General features: G+C 38.0%; 1 annotated feature.

Annotated features, from left to right (window-relative positions):
- Positions 5,070-5,711: an enhancer, noted in NCBI's record as "OCT4-NANOG hESC enhancer chr12:88332854-88333495 (GRCh37/hg19 assembly coordinates)". NCBI's record gives its function as "activates a minimal SCP1, AML or CMV promoter by ChIP-STARR-seq in primed H9 embryonic stem cells {active_cell/tissue: H9 hESC(primed)}" and the evidence as "EXISTENCE:reporter gene assay evidence [ECO:0000049][PMID:30033119]".

Genomic DNA, 22,321 nt, shown 5'->3' with positions numbered 1-22,321 from the left:
TGTCAATTCCTTTGCTAGAAACTGGGGATTAAATGGTAAGCCAAAACAAACAGGTTCCTGCTCTTATGAAGCTTACTGTTGAGGAGGTGTGAAAGGCACAAATAAAATAACCACAAAATATATTGCATGTTTGTGGTTGTCATAAAGCAAGCTACGTGGAGCTATAATATATAACTGAGGGATTTGACCTCTTCTGGATCCCAAGGGGTCCGTGGAAGATGCTACTCATGTGCTGAGAAACTTTTTGGATTTTTGCCTTGTGATAGCTCTTCCTTCACCTTCAACATTAAAAAATAGTCACCATTGTTCCTGGAGTTAGGTACTATAGGTTCCAGCTGTTACATCTTAAAAAATAACTTGTACATGTTACAACAAAAGGATAAAAGAAATGAGTCATTTTCTTTTAAATTTCTATATCTCCCTCTAGTCAGAATTTACCTTTGCTATTTTCTAGTTTTCTATTTTTCCATTAGAGAATATAAACTATGCCACTGCCTTACAGTGCCTCGAATATTAAAAAGAGGTTGTTCTTGGATCTTATTGAGGTAGAGGATCAACAGGACTTATTTCTTAATTCCAACAGGATGAAGTGAAGAAACTGGCAAGAACCAGCAGATGGCAATGGAAGATATCCATAGCTGCCCTTATTGTCCATTAGCATAAGACACTCCCACCCAATGCCATGCCAGTTTACAAATGCCATGGCATTTGTAACATAGACGTTACCAACCCTTTCCATGGCAATGACCCAGAAGTTATTTCCCCTTTCCTAAAAAGTTCTAAATAACCCACCCATCAATTTGCATTAGCTTGCCCCTTAATTTGCATGTAACTGAAAGTAGGTATAAGTGGGTATAAATACAGTTGCCAACAGCCCATATGTTGCCCATTCTGGGCGCATTGCCTGTGAGTTAGCTCCGCCCTGCAAAGAACAGTGGCATTCAAAAAAGATTGCTGTGTAATAGCACTGGCTTGCCCTTGAATTCTTTCCTAGGCAAAGCCAAGAACCCTCCTGAGTTAAGCCACACTTTTGAGACTTGCTTGTCCTGCATCATTATACCCAATTATCAACCTGTTTATAAAAGACAGAGTCAAGTATTAGAAGAACTGAGGATATATTTTTTATTTGAATGCAGCTGCCAGGTGATATCTGTAGAAAATGACTAGCCATAGTCATCTCTCCTTTTTCTAAGGTGAATAAGGTTGGGGAGAAGATTGCACTCCTCAGCCATTTAAATAAATGAGGAAACCTCATTAGCAGAGGGCTAAGCAAACAGTGAAATAAATATATGGTTGTTACTTAATATTATATTTGATATAAAATAGAGACTTCTCAAGAAATCCTTGGCCTGACCTTTCTTAATTGTCTGATTTTTTTTTAAACTTTCAGAAAAGAATCAATCCATGTCTAGGGCCTGTGGCAGGGACTGTTAGCTGTCCTCTGAAATCGATTTCCCCTTTCTTTCTTAGAATAAAGCTAGACTACATTTAATAGCCTCTTTTGCAGTTAGGTGAAGCCATGTGACTAAGCTTGAGGCCAAGGAAGTGACCAGAGTGATGGATGTACTTCTAGGCCTGGCACATAAAATACCTCAAATTGCTCTTCCATGCTCTCTCTGCTTTTTGGCTGAACAGGATCACAAGCCCCAGGGTGAATCTGGAAGCCACATATTTTGAAGATGGGAGAGCCTCCATAAGTCTGAGTCCTCAAATCAATATATGGAGCAGACCTTTCCTCCCCATTCCAACAGGAAACACCTCTTTGAGACTTTTATGAGAGAAATAAATGTACTTCCTGTTCCTAAAACTATTAAATTTGGGGAACCTCTTTGTTAACTATGGCACAATTGCACTACTTAATATAGAGCCTGATGAAAACAAAGGACACATTCATGATTATGGTATTATGTCAAAATACTGGTGAAGTCAGAGTATTCTCTCAGAGGAAATGATGTTTGAGTTCTTAATAATTGCTATTATTGCTATTGATATAGTAGTTCTGAAATATTTATGTGCTCACACAGAGTACTGCATTGCCAAATTAGATTCAAAGGACTAAGAGATTTTACCTGGTATCAATATTTGCTACAAAATTATGAAGATGAAGGCCCAGAAAAAGGCTCAGAGAAAGCAGAGAGAGGTGTGTAATATCAAGTGTGTTTCTCAGAATCCTTCCTTTCCGCCTTGGACATCCCCCTGGCCCAGAACAGATGAGGTCTTTAAGTATGGTTAACTGTCTCCTCACATGGTGGCAAGTGCTGCAATTACAAAACGTCTTTTCTCTCTACCCCAGGGAATTGCATAGCTTACATGACATCCCTCAGGGGGTTATGCCTCCTAGAACCTGGGTCCTATTTACTGCAGGTAATCAATCCAGTGATATCAGGGATATTAATGAAATATAAGGGCATTTCAGAGATAAAATCTCTTCTTTCTAATATATGTTAATGGTCTATTTACCCAGAGGTTCACTTGACAAAAGGTTTAAACTGACTGGGTCGCCTGTTTCTTCCCTTTTCCTCAGGGGTATTTCCTCATGAAGGAGGTGAATGTATCCCATCCCAGCTCTTTTAATTCCTTCTTTGCTATTTTTTAACTCTATTACGAGGAAAATGGATAGATTAAAGGTATTTTATATGCATCACCAATGACTAATCTGGATAAGAGTAAAAGAAAATGTATTTCAGCAGCCTTGTATTTATTAAACATTCAACTTTGCACTAAGGAAATTAGGGACCACTGGATGGGATCAGGACCTATGTCTTGTGACTCTGTGTCCAAAATTATTTTATTTAATCCTACTGTCTTCCCAGTCAATGAAGTGCAGTCCTCTGGCTACACATTGACTGTACTTTTCTGAGAGTCATCTACTTCTGTTGATCATATGTTTGTAACAAAAGGTAGTGTGGTAATAAGTAAAACAAACAGAAGAATTATTTTAATTCCTCCTTGAAATTCCAGTCTTAAATTTTGGTGTGGTAGTCTCTACATTTGGCTTTGTGAGAAAAATAAAAGAAAGACCAAAGAAAGAAGAATTCTGGAAAGAGTTAAAAAATTACAGTAAAGGTTGGTTGCAGTTGTTCATGCCTGTAATCCCAGCACTTTGGGAGGCTGAGGCGGGTGGATCATTTGAGGTCAGAAGTTCGAGACCAGCCTGACCAACATGGTGAAACTCTGTCTCTACTAAAATACGAAAAATAGAACGGTGTGGTGGTGGTTCCCTGTAATCTCAGCTACCCTGAAGGCTGAGGCAGGAGAATCACTTGAACCAAGGAGGCAGAAGTTGCAGTGCACCAAGATCGCGCCTCTACTCTCCAGCCTGGGAGTCAGAGCAAGACTCCCTGTCAAAAAAAAAAAAAAAAAAAAAAAAAGAAAACAAAAGAAAAAAAAATAGAGCAGAGGGAATTGGGAAATTTATTTTATTAGCTCCCTCCAACTTCAACTCAACTACTTTCCGGACTCATTATCTTATTGTTTAACAAACTGATGTCCACAAGAGCTGAAACTGAACATCGAATTAAGCAGCAGAGCCTACATTCATTGATCTGTCTACCAATATTAATAATCAAAAACAATAGGAGTGTGTGTGTGTGTGTGTGTGTGTACAACATCCAAGTAAATTTTTTACGTTTGTGAAAAACAAAAGTAATTATAATAAGATAATATTGCATGAAGATTAAAAAGTATGTACGATCTTAGATTAAGTTAGCATAAATGTGCATGACATTGTCTCCAAATTTTCTGCACTGTGAAATTTTTGAGGACAACAGTCGTCTGACTTATTTTTATGTCCCGAATGGCTAGCACAATACCCAGCTTTTAATAATTTTTTGTGGTAATGGAATCTTCTAGCACTTGGTGTATATTCATGTAGGTTGTCTCTTATATGAGCAGATACAAGCTAGCCAATAGCCCACTGTGTTCATTCACAATACAAGCAAAGGGGCACTGTCTCAGTAAGTTTTAAATCACTTACTTAGCTGGAAGTTTTGTTCATTTTTCCCTAATGTTTTTGGTATAAATGAGCACTTTGAGTTTCTGAAAATATTACCTTATATGCCTTTTTAAAATCTAATAATAAAATCAATGAAATTTCTTACATTTGCATAGTATATTACATTATAAAAGGGCTTTATCATCCAATTTCTCATTTAATTTTGACAACCAATTTAACTAGGGATATCATTCTTATTTTACACGCTAGCAAAACATAGTTTGGATATGTCAGTCGAGTACTGACATCTAAATCCTGTGGATATAAATCTACTGGATGAAGTTCTGGCACAGATATACAAGCTTTATTCATTATTTTAAATAAGCTACACACAAAGGTGATTTCATTGTTAAAGTTAATATTAAAAGTTACACTTGCTTGGCTGGGCGCAGTGGCTCATGCCTGTAATCCCAGGATTTTGGGAGGCTGTGGTGGGCGATCACCTGAGGTCAGGAGTTCGAGACCAGCCTGGCCAACATGGTGAAACCCTGTCCCTACTAAAAACACAAAAATTAGCCAGGCATGGTGGCGAGTGCCTGTGGTCCCAGCTACTTGGGAGGCTGAGACAGGAGAATCGCTTGAACCCGGGAGGCAGAGGTTGCAGTGAGCCGAGATTGTGCCACTGCACTCCAGCCTGGGCAAGAAAGAGCAAAAACTCAGTCTCAAAAAAAAAAAAAAAAGTTACACTTGTTTGTTGTAATAGAAATTATAAACATTTATAAAGAAGATAATTAGTTATTCATAATTTCACAGATTAGAAATGATTGCTAACATGTTTATATATTTCTTTCCAGTACGATTTCTATGCATATGTTTATCTTTTTTCAGTAAAGATCATAAAATATATTCAATTTTGTCTTCGGTCTTTTCATTTCTGTGTCAGCCCAGTTTGGTACATTTGACTAGAACTTTCTGGGCAATTAGGTTTTATTCCTATGGAGACTAGAATAATAATGTCTAGGGTAGACAATAATGTCTAGGGTAGGGTAGAAAGGTTTTGCATTTCAGAATTAATTACTATAACTATATAATGTAGTTTATTACATGTCAGGCATTATTCCAAGAGTTTTACATGATTAATTCATTTAATCCTAACATTGATTCTATAAGGTAGGTGCTACTACAATTCACCATTTTTCATATGCAAAAACAGGCACAGAGAGATTACGGCTTTCCAAAGTCACACAGCTAGTAAGTTAAAGGGTTGGAAATTGAATTTGAGCTATCTGAACCTTGAGTTCATGTTAACTATTACACCCAACTACCTCTCAGAGGCCCAACTCTTCTCTAGGTGGGTGTTCTGAGAAAGCAAATGCTGTAATTGTGTGGATGCTTAAAAAACTTAGCACTACAAAGCTTTTACTCCTTAAGTGAGGGTCACCTGTGGCTCAGCTCAAAATGTAGAGTGTGGAGTTGCCTGCAGAGGGACTCTTTTTCAAAGGATTATGATTAGGGAGTTCAGCAATAGAGACTTAGACAGACCTGGGCAGTTAATTCCCTGTGGCATGGGTCAGCAGGGCTGGGGTGAAACATTCTGCAAAGCTCACCTTTGTGGTGGGGAGGACAAACTGCAGTGATGACAGCTGTAGCCTGGTATACACTTGATTTCTTTCTAGTCTGGGAAAGGATGTCTGACTTACCCCTCTTTTGTACTTCATAAAGCAGTTATGGATCTTAGATGAGGGGTAAAGGGCCTGGATGATGGGAAGGGCAGGAGCCCCAAGAGTTCAGTAATAAGGATTTTGCCAGTGTGTTAGATGGGGGCTCAAGACAATTCTAATATAATTTAAGTTATAAATAAATACTGTGGACACAAAAATATCTACCTCACTTAAGAAAACATTGTCCTATCATTGAATATTTAGTATATTATGATAGATAATGCTCTAATAAACGTTTGAAATTGCACATTTTAGAATATGAGTTTTATAAAATGATGTAATTCCTCAGTCATAATGTTGAGCAACAGAAACCTCATACAACAATTGAGAAATTGCCCAACTCCATTTATATAATGTTAAAAAAGAAACAACATTTATTCATATGGATAAAGTAAGAATAGGCATTATTTTTATGTATAATTGATTCTGAAGGGGAACAAGAGGGTGTTTTGGCAGTATTGGAAGTGTTCTGTCTTGATCTGGTTGGTGTTTACAGGGGTATATACATATGTAGAAATGTATCATTTAAGACTTATGCCCTTAACGGTTGGACTATTATACTTAAAATATAAAAAGATGAATAATCAAATGGAGGTCTGATATCTCAGACCTCTTATTTATGCATTTATGTATTTATGCATTTATTTGTTTTCTAATTGATGAATAAAAATTGTATATATTTATCCTGTATGTGATATTTTTAAATGTGTATACATTAAGAAATGGCTAAATTGAGCAAATTAACATATCCACTGTCTCACATACTGTATTAGTCTGTTCTCACACTTCTGTGAAGAAATACCCAAGACTGGGCAATTTATAAAGAAAAGAGGTTTAGTTCACTCACAGTTCTGCATGGCTGGTGAGGCATCAGGAAACTTACAATCATGGCAGAAGGCACCTCTTTACAGGGTGGCTGGAGAGAGAATGAGTGCCAGCAAGGGAAATGCCAGACACTCATAAAACCATCAGATCTTGTGAGAACTCACTCACTATCACAAGCACAGCATGGGGGAACCATCCTCATGATTCAATTACCTTACACCAGGTCCCTCTTATGACACTTGGGGATTATGGGGATTACAATTCAAGATCAAATTTGGTTGGGGACATGGCCAAACCCTACCATTCTGCCCGTGGCCCCACACAAATCTCATGTCCTCACATTTAAAACACAATCATGCCCTTCCTACAGTCCCTCAAAGTCTTAACTCGTTCTAGCATTAACCCAAAAGTCCAAGTCTGAAGTCTCATCTGAGACAAGGCAAACACCTTCCACTTACGAGACTGTAGAATCAAAAGCAAGTAAGTTACTTCTGAGATACAATGGGGATACAGGCATTGGGTAAATACACCTGTTCCAAATGGGAGAAATTGGCCAAGACAAAGGGGCTAAGGCCCCATGCAAGTCCAAAATCCAACAGGGCAGTCATTAAACCTTAAAGTCCCAAAATGATCTCCTTTGACTCCATGTCTCACATGCAGGGCATGCTGATTCAAGAGGTGGGCTCCCACAGCCCTGGGCAGCTCCACCCCTTTGGCTTTGCAGGGTACAGCCCCCCTCCTGTCTGCTGTCATGGGCTGGCATTGAGTGTTTGCTGCTTTTCCAGGAGCACAGTCCAAGCTGTCAGTCGATCTACCATTCTGAGGTCTGGAGAATGGTGGCCCTCTTCTCACAGCTCCACTAGGCAGTGCCCCAGTGGGGACTCTTTGTGGGGGCTCCAGCTCCACATTTCCCTTCCACACTGCCCTAGCAGAGGTTCTCCATGAAGGCTCTGCCCCTGCAGCAAACTTCTGCCTGGACATCCAGGCATCTCCATACATCCTCTGGAATTTAGACAGAGGTTTCCAAACCTCAATTCTTATCTTCTGTGCACCCACAGGGCCAACACCACATGGAAGCTGCCAAGGCTTGGGGCTTGCACCCTCTAAAGCAATGGCCTGAGGTGTATCTTGGCCCCTTTTAGCCACAGCTGGAATGGCTAGGATGCAAGGCACAAAGTCCTGAGGCTGCGCAAAGCAGGAAGGCCCAGGGCCCGCCTAGGAAATCATTTTTCCCTCCTAGGCCTCCAGGTCTGTGATGGGAGGGGTTGCCTTGAAGGTCTCTGACATGCCCTGGAAATATTTTCCCCATTGTCCTGGTGAATAGCATTTGGCTCATAGTTACTTATGCAAATTTCTGCAGCAGGCTTGAATTTCTCCCTAGAAAATGGGTTTTTCTTTTCTACTGCTTTTCTTTTCTACTGTACATTTTCTAAACTTTTATGCTCTGTCACCCCCACCCCCTTTTTTTTTTGAGACAGAGTCTCACTCTGTCACCCAAGCTGGAGTGCAGTGGTATGATCTTGGCTCACTGCAACCTTTGTCTCCCGGGTTCAAGCGATTCTTGTGCCTCAGCCTCCTGAGTAGCTGGGATTACAGGTGTGTGCCACCATGCCCAGCAAATTTTTATATTTTTAGTAGAGATGGGGTTTCACTATGTTGGCCAAGCTGGTCTTGAGTAAACTCCTGACCTCAAGTGATCTGGCCTCATCAGCCTCCCAGAGTGCTGAGATTACAGGTGTGAGCCACCACACACAGCCCTCTGTCACCTCTTGAATGCCTGCTGCTTAAAAATTTCTTCCACCAGATACCCTAAATCATCTCTCTCAAGTTCAAAGTTCCACAGATCTCTGGGGAAGGGACAGAATGTCACCAATCTCTTTACTAAAGCATAGTGTGTGTCACATTTGCTCTAGTTTCCAAGAGTTCCTCATCTCCATCTGAGATTACTTCAGCCTGAACTTCATTTTCCATATCACTATCAGCATTTTGGTCAAAACCATTCATCAAGTCTCTAGGAAATTCCAAACATTCCCTCACCTTTCTGTCTTGTTCTGAGCCCTCCACACTCTTCCAAACTCTGCCTATTACCCAGTTCCAAAGTCACTTCCATATTTTCGGGTATCTTTACAGCAGCACCCCACTACCTCAGCACCAATTGATGTGGTTTTGTTGTGTCCCCACCCAAATCTCATCCTGAATTGTTGCTCCCATAATTCCCGTACGTCATAGGAGGGACCTGATAGGAGGTAACTGAATCATGATGGGGTGGGTCTTTCCTGTGCTGTTCTTGTGATAGTGAGTAAGTCTCATGAGATCTGATGGTTTTATAAAAGTGAGTTCCCCTGCACATGCTCTCTCTTGCCTGTCACCATGTAAGACATGACTTTGCTCCTTCTTTGCCTTATGCCATGATTGTGAGGCCTCCTCGGCCATGTGAACTGTGAGTCAATTAAACCTCTTTTTCTTTATAAATTACCCAGTCTCAGGTATGTCTTTATTAGCAGTGTGAAAAAAGACTAATACACCCATTTACTATATTAGTCTGTTCTCATGCTGCTATGAAGAAATACCTGAGACTGGGTAATGTATAAAGAAAAGAGATTTAATTAACTAGCAGTTCTGCACAGCTGGGAAGGCCTCAGGAAACTTACAATCATGGCAGAACTTACCTCTTCAAAGGGCAGCAGGACAGAGAATGTCAGTAAGGAAAATGATAGACCTTTATAAAATCATCAGATCTCATGAGACTCACTTGCTATCACAAGAATGGCATGGCAGAAACCACCATCATGATTCAATTACCTCCCACCACATACCTCTCATGATCCATGATGATTATGGGGTTTACAATTCAAGGTGAGATTTGGGTGGGGACACATTTTTTTGTAGTGAGAACCCTTAAAGTCTATTCTCTAAGTGGTTTTCAAAATGCATTGTTATTAACTATGGTCACCATGTTGCATAATCAACCTCTTGAACTTGTTCATCTAGCATAACTGAAATTTTATATATTTTGACCAACATCTTTGCAACCCACTACTTCCTAACCCAGCCCCAGTAGAGAGTAGATACCATTCTACTCTCTATTTCAATGAGTTCCCCTTTTTTGGATTTCACATTTAAGTGAGATCATGTGCTATTGGTCTTTCTGTGTCTGGCTTATTTCACTTAATGTAATGTTTATAGGTTCATCCATGTTGTCACAAATGACAGGATTTTTTCTTTTAATGCTGAATAGTATTTTGTTGTGTGTATGTGTATATACATACATATGTGCTTATGTGTGTGTGTATATATATATAGTATTTGTTTTACTCATTTATCCATTGACAGACACTAAGGTTGATTCTTTATCTTAGCTACTGTGAATACTTCTGCAGTGAACGTGGGAGTGCAGATATCTCTTTAACATACTGAACATACTGATTTCATTTCCTCTGGACATATACTCAGTAGTGGGATTGCTGGATCATATTTTAGTTCTGTTTTTAATTTTTTGAAGTTCCTCCATGCTGTTTTCAATACTGGCAGACATATTTTGAGTTTCATCTTAAAGAAGTTTTCCTTCGTTTTTTTTTTTTTTTTTTTTTTTTTCCTTCTCATAGCTGGATAGTCTAGATCATCGGTGGCAAAACCAAAACCCATTGGCCAAATCTATCTCTCTGCCTATATTTGTAAATCAAATTTTATTGGAACCTCACCATGCTCCATATATTGTATACACTGCTTTCAAGCTACAATGGTAGGGTTGAATATTATGGCAGATACTGTGACACCCAAAGCCTAAAATATTAACTGGCTCTTTATAGAAAAAGCTTGCTGTTTTCTTGTATAGATGACCTTTTGGTTCTCTTCCAATACTGAGATTTTATGATCTTATGAATCTGAGGTCCAGGATACTTTCCTCTGGAGACTTCTCCAGAACTAATGCTAATACTTCCTTAAGATTTTGATTTATAAGGAGAAATTAAAAATACCTTAGCCTCCTTTGTCTTGATTTTGAGTCTCTATTTTATACTTCTATTAATAAAAAAAAAAGCAACAGAAGTGTCTTCAATGTAAACATTTCCAAAATACTTACATTGGTTTGGACTAAAACTTAGGCCATGACTCATATGAGAACTGTTCTGTTCTTCACAGGAAAGATAACAATGACATCCACATAGGAAAGATATGGTACCAAATTTTATTACTATCAAGTTTGAAGATATGAAGGTAAAGAAAGCAAAAAAAAAAAAAAAAAGTGGGAGAGAAACCATCCTGAGAAATCTTCCATCTCTGCCTCTGCAATGTCTCAAATCTGAAAGTTGGTTAATACTTAATACTTTTTACTTTGAGGCTGTAGATACCTGCTGTTTGATTTAAGGCACTGGAAAAGTGATCTGCTCGCTCTGTGATGAAATTGCTGCGGAATAAATAGCCTCATAAGCTTAGGACTTCTGTGTTTTCATTGTATTATTCATCCCTTCAGTTTTCCTCATTCTTTGGTAGCTTCATAGGGTTTCACAGCATCTATTCCAAGCTTATGATATTAATGATGCCAATAGGCAGGCCCTAGAGAGTGCTGTTTTAAGAAGGCTGTACTATAGCAATCTTAGTAGAACTCTCCTGAGTTTCTTGGTTTTTTAAAATTTTGTTTGGTTCTTTTTTCCCTTTGCCCTATAGAGCTGCAATTTGCCATTTCTTGCTGCTACTTACATTTTCTCCCCTGCTGACACTGTAAATTAAGGTTGTTATTAAGTTACCATTCTATTCCTTTGGGACAATCCTATCTCTCTATACACTGTACGTAGAACCTTTCTGGCAACCTGCTGTTCACGACACACAAATCAGGAATACATCAGAAGCCAAGCTATCCCTTTGTTGTCTTCATTTCAGACATATTAAGTACTGTCAATGTACTGAGCATACAAAATAGAAGTACCCTACCCTCTACAAGCTTACTATATTGACCTTCGAAGATATATAAGCTCTTAGAAAAAAAGCAGTTAAAATTAGTGAAGGCAGCAATAAAACAGGCTCTAAAAATAGAGTCCAAAAACGCTCAACTAAGGGCATCTGAAAAACTAATTATCCAGTTTTAAAGCTATGACCCACATCTCCCATCTGCTCTATTAGAACACTCCACAAAAGCTTGAAGTTCCTTAGAGCTTTTGGAGAGAGTCTGTTAACTTGTCATTCAGTCATATTTCTCATGGCCCTTGGCAAGATAGGATCTGACATGCCACACCTCTCTGAAGAAAGGGTGCTATTCAGCTGGTGCTGCCATCTCTGAGCTGAGAAGAGGGTCCCATGGGGCTGCAACCCAGACTTTTGGGGAGGGGGTGCCAGTCAGATGGTGTTGGTATCAATGAAGCTGATTCTGTGCTGGGAAAGCTGAAAACTGGATTCAGTTGCTGTTATGGGAAGGAACTGCCTCTGCCGGGGTTGAGATGTGTTGCTGAATTGATGCTCCCCCAACACCAAAGCAGACAGGAATCCCACAAGAAGCACAAAGGGGACCCATGGAAGGAGCGTGTTTCCTTTTCTATCTCTAGCTTCTCAGTCTTCTATCCTTCAATGAGAAGGATTTGCCTCTGTCAGGGTGAAGAAGTCAGGAACCATTTTCCTCTGCCAGGAACCATAGTACTCAGTAAGCCCATCAGGAGCCAACAGAGAACCAAGAAAGAGAAAATCTTTTTCTCCTCCTCCACACAGCAGTTTCCTTTTTAGCACTCCACATTGTCAAACTAAGCATGGCAGTAGATTGTGTATAAGAAAATTGTTTGCAGAGTCCCATCACAAAGCAAAGCTGGAGACGTGGGTTTGGAGGTGAGAGACAATAACTTAATAAGTGGCATCATCATTTTCTCTGCAGAGCTCTGTCCTTCTTTCATTAACTGTATTGAAATGATAATGGGTACAATATTTCCCCACTGTACTGTGGACCATTAGATTATCCAAGAGTGAAGAAGAGAAAAGGAAAAGAAGAGGAGAGGTCTTTGGAGGGATATGTAGATATGTGGTAAGCATTGATTTCACTTTCAACTTGAGATAATATTGCAGATTAGTTAGCCAAGTTCTCAGTATGTAGGGAATGAGAAAAAAATGATAAAAAGAGAGAAGAAAGATAGGCGATCATTTCACAGAGCAAGTTGTCCTCACTTCCCCAACATCATACACTTTCTGTGTATTTACCCTATGCCTCACACTCACTGTAGTGTTCTGAGTGGAACATAATACATAAAATACTTAGAATAATCTGAGCATGTTTGATTAAGAAAGGCATGGCAAGCATATGCTTGCAATTCTCCTGCATGCATGGAAGCTTCATCATAGTTTCTGTTTGTTTTACCAGCCTGAATGTTACGCAGTTGGATGTCATCTGGTATGTCAGTTGGTGTAGCACACAAATGACTTTGCTTTCTCATATCCCATAGGCAGTATTTATAATGGCATGATTATGTGTCCAGAATTCAAGCAAAGAAAAAAAGGAAAAAGAAAATCATCGCTGGAGTGCTGCTGGCTTAGACTTCATTGAGATTAGGAGGTATCAGTTCTACCAGTAAGTGTTCTTTTCCACAGATATGAATAAAGAGACCATTGTGCGCTGTGTACTAGGGGTGAAAACAAAGAAGGGCAAGGTGAAATCAACCCAATAGATGAAACTTATTTTTAAACCCTGGGAAATATATCATCTTAGACCTTTAAAGGAAATAATACACCATAGAAAAATAAAAAGAATGAATAACTAAACTAGTTACAGGACACCAGATCCATTTGTCCATGTTACAGAATGGGAGATAGCACTCTTGTTTTAATTGTGATTTCTATTACATCAATGCCATATTTTAGCGATAGCATAAAATTATGAACAATAAGAACTGAATCTTAAATATATTTTTTCTTCAAAATTATTCTCTTTTATTTTAACCAGCAGTATATTCAGATTGTTATGGTTTTATTTTTTCCCACACCTTTAGAATAAAATTGGGCATATATGTATATTTAAAAACTTCAAGGAACTTCAAAGAAGATACAATTGAATGTGCATTCTGCCTCTGACAGGAGTGAGATCCTTTGGATAAAATATTTGAATAGGTCCAAGCTTCAGTTTCTTTTCTAAAATGTGGATAAGAAAAAGTTTAGAGTGGCTAACTACCTCAACATCCTGACTTGTCCATATATACTATCAAAACATTAGCTATTATTATTGTTAACTATATTATTATAACAATTATAATTATTATATTGATCATTATTAGTATTTAGTATTATAATTAATTACATTCTTATAATTATTTGATTAGTTGTATCGATTATTACTTTATAGTCTAATTTACTCTTGGAGACTAAAAGCATCTCTTGCTTTCCTTGCCCATGTGTCTTGCCTGAGGGAACAACAAGCTGGAGAAAATAAAACTCTAACAAGAGAAGCAAGCACAAAGCTATTTGGCAGCTGCTCTGTATAGTGCCAACATGCCAGTGGGCAGCATTCTGTCTTCAGTTTAAACTCACCTGCTGGGGTGGTGCTCATGTGGGCCAATTCAATTTACATGTCTGATGGAACACATTGTGACCAAGAATACATTTAAAGTTCAAATTTACATCATCCAGCAATGCCAATATCCAGAAATGACCATTTGTATTCTTGTATAGTAACAATAATGTGGGATTGTAGTTTAAAATAATACTTGACCTGTGTGACTGTCAAGGAACATTTTGCAGGGAATATTTTGCAATCAGATCAACACTTGAGAATCTGAACTTTCAGCACTGAAGATAAATGAAAGATTCCTAATTTAGTCCTATTACCTACCCAGGATACTGCTGGAGCTTATGGGATTTCCGTGAACTATTTGAACAGGCTTTGGATCTCTCTGAATAACACACTTGGGAAGTATATAGGAAAAGTAGAAATTGGAGACACACGATAATGCTACAAGGTGGAAATAATGTGAAAAAATTTCCTAAGGTTTTGGCTAAATTACTTAAACTAATTGGTAATCTTTCTCCTGAAATGTCAAATAACTGTGACATGTTGAAATGATGTGCTTGGTTTCAACTGCTTACAAGTGAAGTTTCAGGGCTTGAGCATCTGCTCATGTGCCAAGACTCTGACTCATGCCTGCTGTTACTGCTGCTGGTAAAGGATGTCATTCTTTGAGTATTTTTTCTTGGTAATTAAATAATATCTTCAAACTCACTGTCCATAGGGTGGAATTTTCCTCCCAAGACTATTTCTCTACTTAGAACAAACACCTAATTTATAATCATTGCATGGTAGCGAAGACAATTATTCTATATAATACCAGAATTTGCAGAGCCAATTTTTTCCCCAAAGGCAAGGTCTTGATGTTTTTGTTTTTCAGTTTAGTAAATATGATGCAGGTTCTTAAGTGACCCAATTGTACTGGTAATTGATGCAAACAATGTAATCTTGTCCAACACCGTCTAATATAGCTAAAACTCATCTACTTCTTCATCCCTACTAGCCTTTTCTTAACTCAGGTGTGGGGGACACATCTGAAGATGCTCCTACCACCCCAGTTACATTGGGGATCTCCACATAGCAAGGACATGCTGGTAGCTTCTGGGAGCTGAGGGTGGCCTCCGGCCAAAAGTCAGCAAAAACTGAAGTTCTTGGCTCTACAACCACAAGGAACTAAGGGTGGCCAACAACTATGAAAGTGGGGAAGCAAATCCTTCCCTTCGTAGCCTCCAAATGACAACACAGTCCTAGTTGACACATTGATTGCAACCATGTAAGACTCTAAGCCAGCTAAGCCATGTTCAGACTCCTAAACCACAGAAATAGTTATGTGTTATTTAAAGCCACTACATTTGTGGCAATATTAGATAGCAAAAGAAAGCTAATGCAACAGGTGTCTATCATCAAAGGCTAAATTACTGCTCTAGCTCCCTAAATGACCTCTTTGGCTACTCTCACCCTCCCCTTTGTAGTCACTATTCCTTCTAGAACAAAAATCTCATTATGTCACTGCCTTACTTAAATTTCTTTAGTGACTCTGCATACTCCTTGTGCAGAGCCTTTACCAACTTTTTCCTATGTACCTCTCCTGCCTACTGCTCACGACTTTGCCCCCACCTCAAATGATGCTTTACCCCATGGTACGACTTCTTCAGTTTTTGTGCAATGCTCCATTTATTCCCAGTTGCCTTTCAATTCTCAATTTAGGCATGGCTTCCTAAATTTAGGTTACAAGCTTGTTCTATTTGCTACTGTGATACTGTTTAATTAACATTGTATTCGTCAAAGAGTATTGTAATTGACTATTGACTTGTTTATTTCTTCTATAGACTAAACACTTCTGGGGAGAGCAGCCACAATTTCTCCATTATTAAATTTCCACACATAGTACAATGGCTATCATGTAGTTAGTAGTCAATAAATATCTCATGAATGGAAGTTGTATGTTTCCAAACTAAAAGGAGTAATACACAAATCTCCATTGAACTGATTGAAGTTCTATCCTCCATTTTATAGTTATGACCATGATTTTTCTGTGATTCGATTTGTCTAAAATCAGTGTTTCCTAAATTGCCAGTCTTCAAAATTCATTATTATGGATTTTTGTTTAAAATTCAAATATTTCTACCTATCTGATACTCACTGTGTGACGCTCTACAGAGGAAGACCTAGGAAACTTTTATTTTAACCAATACTTCTTGCGAGTTTCTTGATTCAATAAGTCTGGAAACAGTAGCTTAAAATGATTACATAGGATTGACTTTGGCACATGTGAATCCTACCTCCTGGCTTTAGTCTGCCTGTAAAACCAATTAAATCAAACTACATTAATGACCCTGTTGCTAGAATTGCCCAGAACTAGCTCTGATGCCTTATTTATGGCTGAGCAGTCTGTTTTCTGTTTTCTGTTTTCTCACAACCCAGTTTCCAGAACTCTTTCATGTGTTCACATGGTGACTCCTTCTTGGACTCACCACATCACCATTTTGAAGCTGACCCTGCTTGGTGTTGATTTGTTTTTCCCCCTTGTTACTAATACTCCAAAATTAAACCTCAACTCAATGAAGCCCCTCACTTCCCAGAATGCAGAATGCAGAATGCAGAATGCAGAATGCAGCTTTTTAATTTACTTCATGTCCAGCTGTTCCTGAGTCACAAAACAGCAATTCGTGTGGGAGCATAGATGCTGGCACTATATAAAAGCATCTATTGCATTTTAAGTAAATGCAAGATTTTTCTCACTTTCAATTATAGTCTCCTCTCAGGGAATTTAAATGCATAAGTAAAATAACTGAATATTTCCCCATGGTTCTACATAACATCACAATAAGTTCCTTGAGAGACAGAAAGTTTATATTAATATAATTACTGTCATTTTCTTCATATTATGATACTATTTTATTCTCGGTATAGTGTCATGTTGGGTGGACAGCAGGAAGCTCCATAACCAATATAGATCCGACGTCTTCAGGGAATTTCAGATCCCAATTCTATCCCTTCCTAACTGGCCACCTCAGCAGTGACTTAACTGTTCAACATCTTGATTTCCTTGTCTGTAAACAATGGGTATAATAATAGTTTTTTTGTGGGAAAAAAATAAGATTCGACAAAAAAATTATTTGGAACAGTGATGTGATTCGGCTGTGTCCCCTCCCAAATCGCATCTTGAATTGTAGCTTCCACAATTCGTCATGAGAGAGACCCGGTGGAAGATAATTGAATCATGGGGGCATGTCTTTCCCATGCTGTTCTTGTGATAGTGAATAAGTCTCACGAGATCTGATGGTTTTATAAAGAGCAGTTTCCCTGCACAAGTTCTCTTTTCTTGTCTGCTGCCATGTGAGATGTGTCTTTCAACTTCTGCCATGATTATGAGGCCTCCCCAGCCACATGGAACTGTGAATGCATTAAACCTCTTTTCCTTATAAATTACCCTGTCTCAGGTATGCCTTTATCAGCAGCATGAAAACAGACTAATACAGACAGTATCTAGTGCACAGTAAGAGCTCAGTTAATATTGAATTAAAAATGCAAGTAAAATGATGCTACACCAATTGTGTTGGCAATTTTAAATCAGCTCACAGTGGCTTAAAAAACAAAATAGAGTTCATTAACTTGTATCTGGGAATTTGAAAGTGGACTTGAGTCAGCACCATTCAGTTTGTTCAGGGTTCTAGTTCCTTTTCTCTCTTCTCTCTTGGTATTACTGTTTTGTTTTGTATGTAGATTTGTCTTTAGGATGACTCCCATCATAATTGAAAACTAACTACCAACAAAAGCAAAAGAACATTTTCCCACACTCATTTAAGAAGAAGAGGGAGCATGGTATTCCCTCTCTTTTATTTCAGAAATAATATAGATTTTTTTCCAGAAAACGCTAACATTCCTCTTTTCTGAAATGCCCACTAGCAGACTCCAGAAGAATCTCTGATAGGAGGAGTGATTTTCTCTTAAGAAATCAGATTCTACTTTTCATGTGAGGTCAATTACAAAAACTACACTGCTATTTCTCATAAGGGAGAGGATATTAGGACATCACCTAATATCAGTATTCACCACATAATTTATTTCTCAATTATAAAATGAGGATGGATTAAACAATTGATTTTTTTTTCTAGCCCTTATACTCTGTGGTTTTCTTTCAGAGAGCAGAGATTATCAACCATTTTCAGCAACTCTCTGGAAGTCTGGTAAAGCCTATGGACAACTCAAATAATTACAAAGTAAAAATGCCTTCTCAGCATGTAGTTACTGAAACACCAAAATATTATGTATAGTAACTTTGTGGTTTTTAGTGACACGTTATATAAAAATAAATACTCTTAACTTTGAAGTAGTGATAAGAGTAAACAATAGTTTGAGATCTCTATTTCAGACATTGCTAACGATACTGTGGATTTTTGCCTCCATTAATAATTTCAAAAAATTACAAATATCAGTTAGAAATTAATAAAAATAAGGATGTAATTATTTTCTCTATCTTAGTCCATGAATCTACTGATTTCTATCCACAGGCATCTTGGGATTCTCTGGACTCCAGATTAAAAATCACTGTCATAGGGGACTGTCTTAGGAAATCAACAAAAACCTATGACATGAAGGATTACAAGCTCAGAGATTCAGTTGTAATTTTCTTAAAGCACTTACTAAAGTATTTCCATAACCTGAATATGAAACTATGTAGTACACTTTGATAAATAGATTGTAAGCTTCTTAAAGGAGAGAACAATGCCATCTATATCTCTGGCTTACAGCACTATTCTTAAAACTCACTCTCAGAAAAAAAAAAAAAAGGAAAAAAAAAACCTACCTCTGCATGAAAATCGCTTTGGGAAATTTTTAAAAATGCCGATGCTCCCTATTTACACTAGAACTTCTGAATCAGAATGCCTTCATGAAGACCTGGGAATCTGTATTTCCAAAGCCTTCCAAAATTATTTAGATACAGTTAACTTTCACCAAGTTGATGATCCACAGTGGGATGCTACTCTCATTTAGCACCTGGCATAATGCCTTGCACAAATTACATCCTTAGTAAGTGGTTAAAGATTTAAATGAGAGAAACTAGGACATATAAAAGAAGTTTACATTTAGAAATACCAACAAAAACATCTTAGTCATATATGACATAAAAATGTCTGTAGGTAAAACGTTTCATTCCCTCTAGTATTAATCCTTAATCACAAAATTATTGTTGGGGACACATTCTGTGGCTCTTATGTTAAGAATTCTTGACACAAATTGTTCCTAGAATTCAGTGCCAGAGAAATTTTAACTGCTCGGATGAACAATTGTGATTGTTTTTATTATTATTTAAAAGTCAGGCAGCTTTGACCTGATTGAAGAGAATTCACTGGAAGTAGTGAGAGACAAGGGATGGTGCTACTATATAGTAACATCTGCCAGGTTCATTACAAATGTCACCATAACAGGAGACCTGGTAGAGTCAATCAAACATAATTATCCTAATCTTGGCACCAAACCGCGACTAGCTGGCCTTTTGGATCCAAATCTTAGGTATATGCAATCCTGATACACTGTGGTTTTTAAACTTGGAGCTCTGGAACATAAGGAATACATTTGTTGAGAAGAGTCCCAAACAAACTATGGGCTATGTGCATATTTATTTAAAAACCAATCTATGTCCATATGTTACACATTGTAGCTAAATATGTCCTTGTACACATACTCTTTCTGCCATTTGAATAATAAAAATGCTCTTGATTCATCATGAGTCCTCCTTCACAAAGGGATTAAAAAACTCTTCTGATTATTGATGGCTAGAGCCAGTGACTTAGTTTCACCTTTCCCTTTTTATTCTACACCATTTATTTTTGTCTGTTACTTGTGGAATATTCTGTTACTCTTTAACTGAGTCCCACAGATCTCTGAATTCTTTTTGCATTTTCTCACAGTTTCTCATAGTTCCAAATTATTCCATAACAACTTCACTATTCCTGATGCCTTTCCTTTTCTTGAACTCTGTATATATTGCATTTCTTTACGCTGTATAGGGTCTTATTTCCCTTTGCCCCTTTCTGTTTGCTTAAATTCACAAAGTTACAAGCACACACTCTTCTACCTGGATCACTTCAAACCAATCTTAGGCATATCTGCCCTTTAATCAGCCACATCCTCAAAGACAGATAAATATTTGATAAATATCTAATATTCAACAAAAAGGTATCAACCAAGTTGTCACTTTCATCAGAGAGCCTTCCTTAACATCCAAAGTACCAGTTAGCATTCCTTGGTCACAAACAAGAACACCTACATTTAAGTAATTTAAGCACTACAGAGTTTATGGGATGACTATTAAGGTTCTCAGAATTTACCAATAGGAAAGAAGTGTTGGAGGCTAAGAAAGCAGGAAGCTCAGCAACTATCTTGTAGCAGGAACCATTTGTTTTGGCTGCTTCATGGGGATGAATAATGAATTCCAACTGCTTCTTCTATATTTGTGATACTCACTCAAGATGTATGCTCTGGGAGAAAGCAGCTGATGAGCTGAGCTAAGCTAATACACCCATGCCATGAATTAATTGGGCTGTGGAAAAAAAGAACTTGAACTTTTCCATTTATGTAGTATGAGTCAGGCATCTGAATTTACAATTCTACCAATACTCAGTGGAAAAATAATTCTCTAAAAAAATCCAGAAGCTTTAGGAAGGGGAAATAAAGTAAGAGCCTTTATAATTATAAATGTCCACATTGCTGTACCTTCTCATTGTTCCATGGTACTCTAAGCTTTCCACATCTTGGCACTTAACATTTTACCTTGCTATATCTGTAGATACTTCACTGGGCTCTGAATTCTGGAAGGGCAAAGACCACGTTTGTCTTGTTTATCATGTCGGGCATCCTCTGGACTTAGCACAGATTTTTAGCACATGTAATAAGTAAATGCTGTGTAAAGAGATATTTTTTGAAAAATTTAATGGAGTTATTGTGTTGCCAGTTTCTTACTATATTTCTGTGCCCATAGCAGAAAACCTACCTGAAACACACTTAAAAGAGGAAATTTGTTGATTCATATAACTGAAAAGTCCAACTGAAAAGTAGAGCAGGTTTTAGGTGTTACCAAGGATCAGTTTCTCTCCCTGTCTCTCTGTCCAGCCCTCTGCACGGTCAACATATCCCCAGTAATGGTTCTCCCACAGTCTTGAAATGATTTTGAATAGCTACCAGAACTATGGACATCCTTCTTTTATGTCCAGTGGACAAAGGGGCAAGTTTGGGTCTAGAATTCTTGAAACAAGGCCAAGGAGAATCATAGTTTAGGCACTGGGTTTGGTCACATGCCTGATGGTGAACTAAATCCTAGCTCAGCAGGAGGCAATGAGCTTATGTGAGGATTGAAGTCCATTTTCCTGCTTCTACTTCACTTCCTAGAATAATTCGGGAAATGGTAGAGTAGGAAGATTTCTGGAGAGGCCACCAACAGACGTCTAAATCATCAGTTAAAGCTTTATGGCCAGTAATAGCCTTATACTGACTTTTTTTTTTTTTTTTTTTTTGTAGGACCCAGTACCACAGCCTGTGTTTTCTCTTGTTCTATTTAGTTTGCTATTCTTCCTTCTTGGAATCCTAGAAAAGCTTTTTAATTTTTTCTCTGTAGCTGAAGTGGGAAAAATGAAACAAAACCAGAAATACTTCTGTATAATTGAGAAGACTTTTACCCTGGAACAATAGATCTTTTCTATAATAGTTTCCTGTTTCCCTCTTTTCTTCTTTGCCATGCCTAGTTGATGGAGATGGCAGGCAAACCTCTGCTCCCATCAAACGTTGTCCAGAAACAGAAAAGTCTCAGTCTTAGTCTCTTAGTCTTTTGTGAAAACCTATACTCCTCTTCCTTAATTCCCACAACTACAATTTGGTTTTGCTGACACAATTATGGGGAGTGATGTACTGAGCCAGGAAAAGAGACAGCTGAAATAGCTTTTTGCTGAATCCTCAGAAGCTTTTATACATTCCTCTTCAACTAAGAAAAAAAAATCCAAGGGAAGCTTTCTAGAGGCTGTTCCAATAGCCACATTTATTAAAATACCATAAAATGTATCGGTCTTTCAAGGGTTGTTAATGGAGTGCAGCTTAACCAGTTCACCATCTTACTCTTCACTTGCTAGGATCTGTCTATTATCTATTATTATTAACAATCTGTGTATTTTCAAAACACTAAGCGAAGTACTTTCCCACATTGCTGTTCTAGGAGAGTATCAAGTATGTAGAGTAATTTGGTATCCAATAAGGGCACCGTGTGTGAAAGACTTTTGATAATAGTATAAATTACTCTAATTAAATATAATGTACTTGGGAGCTCACATCGTGGCTAAAAGTAAGGGGTTGTAAATACTGTAGTGCTTAAGTATG

This window comes from Homo sapiens, chromosome 12, assembly GCF_000001405.40.
Source record: "Homo sapiens chromosome 12, GRCh38.p14 Primary Assembly".
NCBI classification, from domain to species: Eukaryota; Metazoa; Chordata; class Mammalia; order Primates; family Hominidae; genus Homo; species Homo sapiens.
The sequence above is the reverse complement of the archived record's forward strand: the minus strand, read 5'-3'. Positions and strand labels throughout refer to the sequence as shown.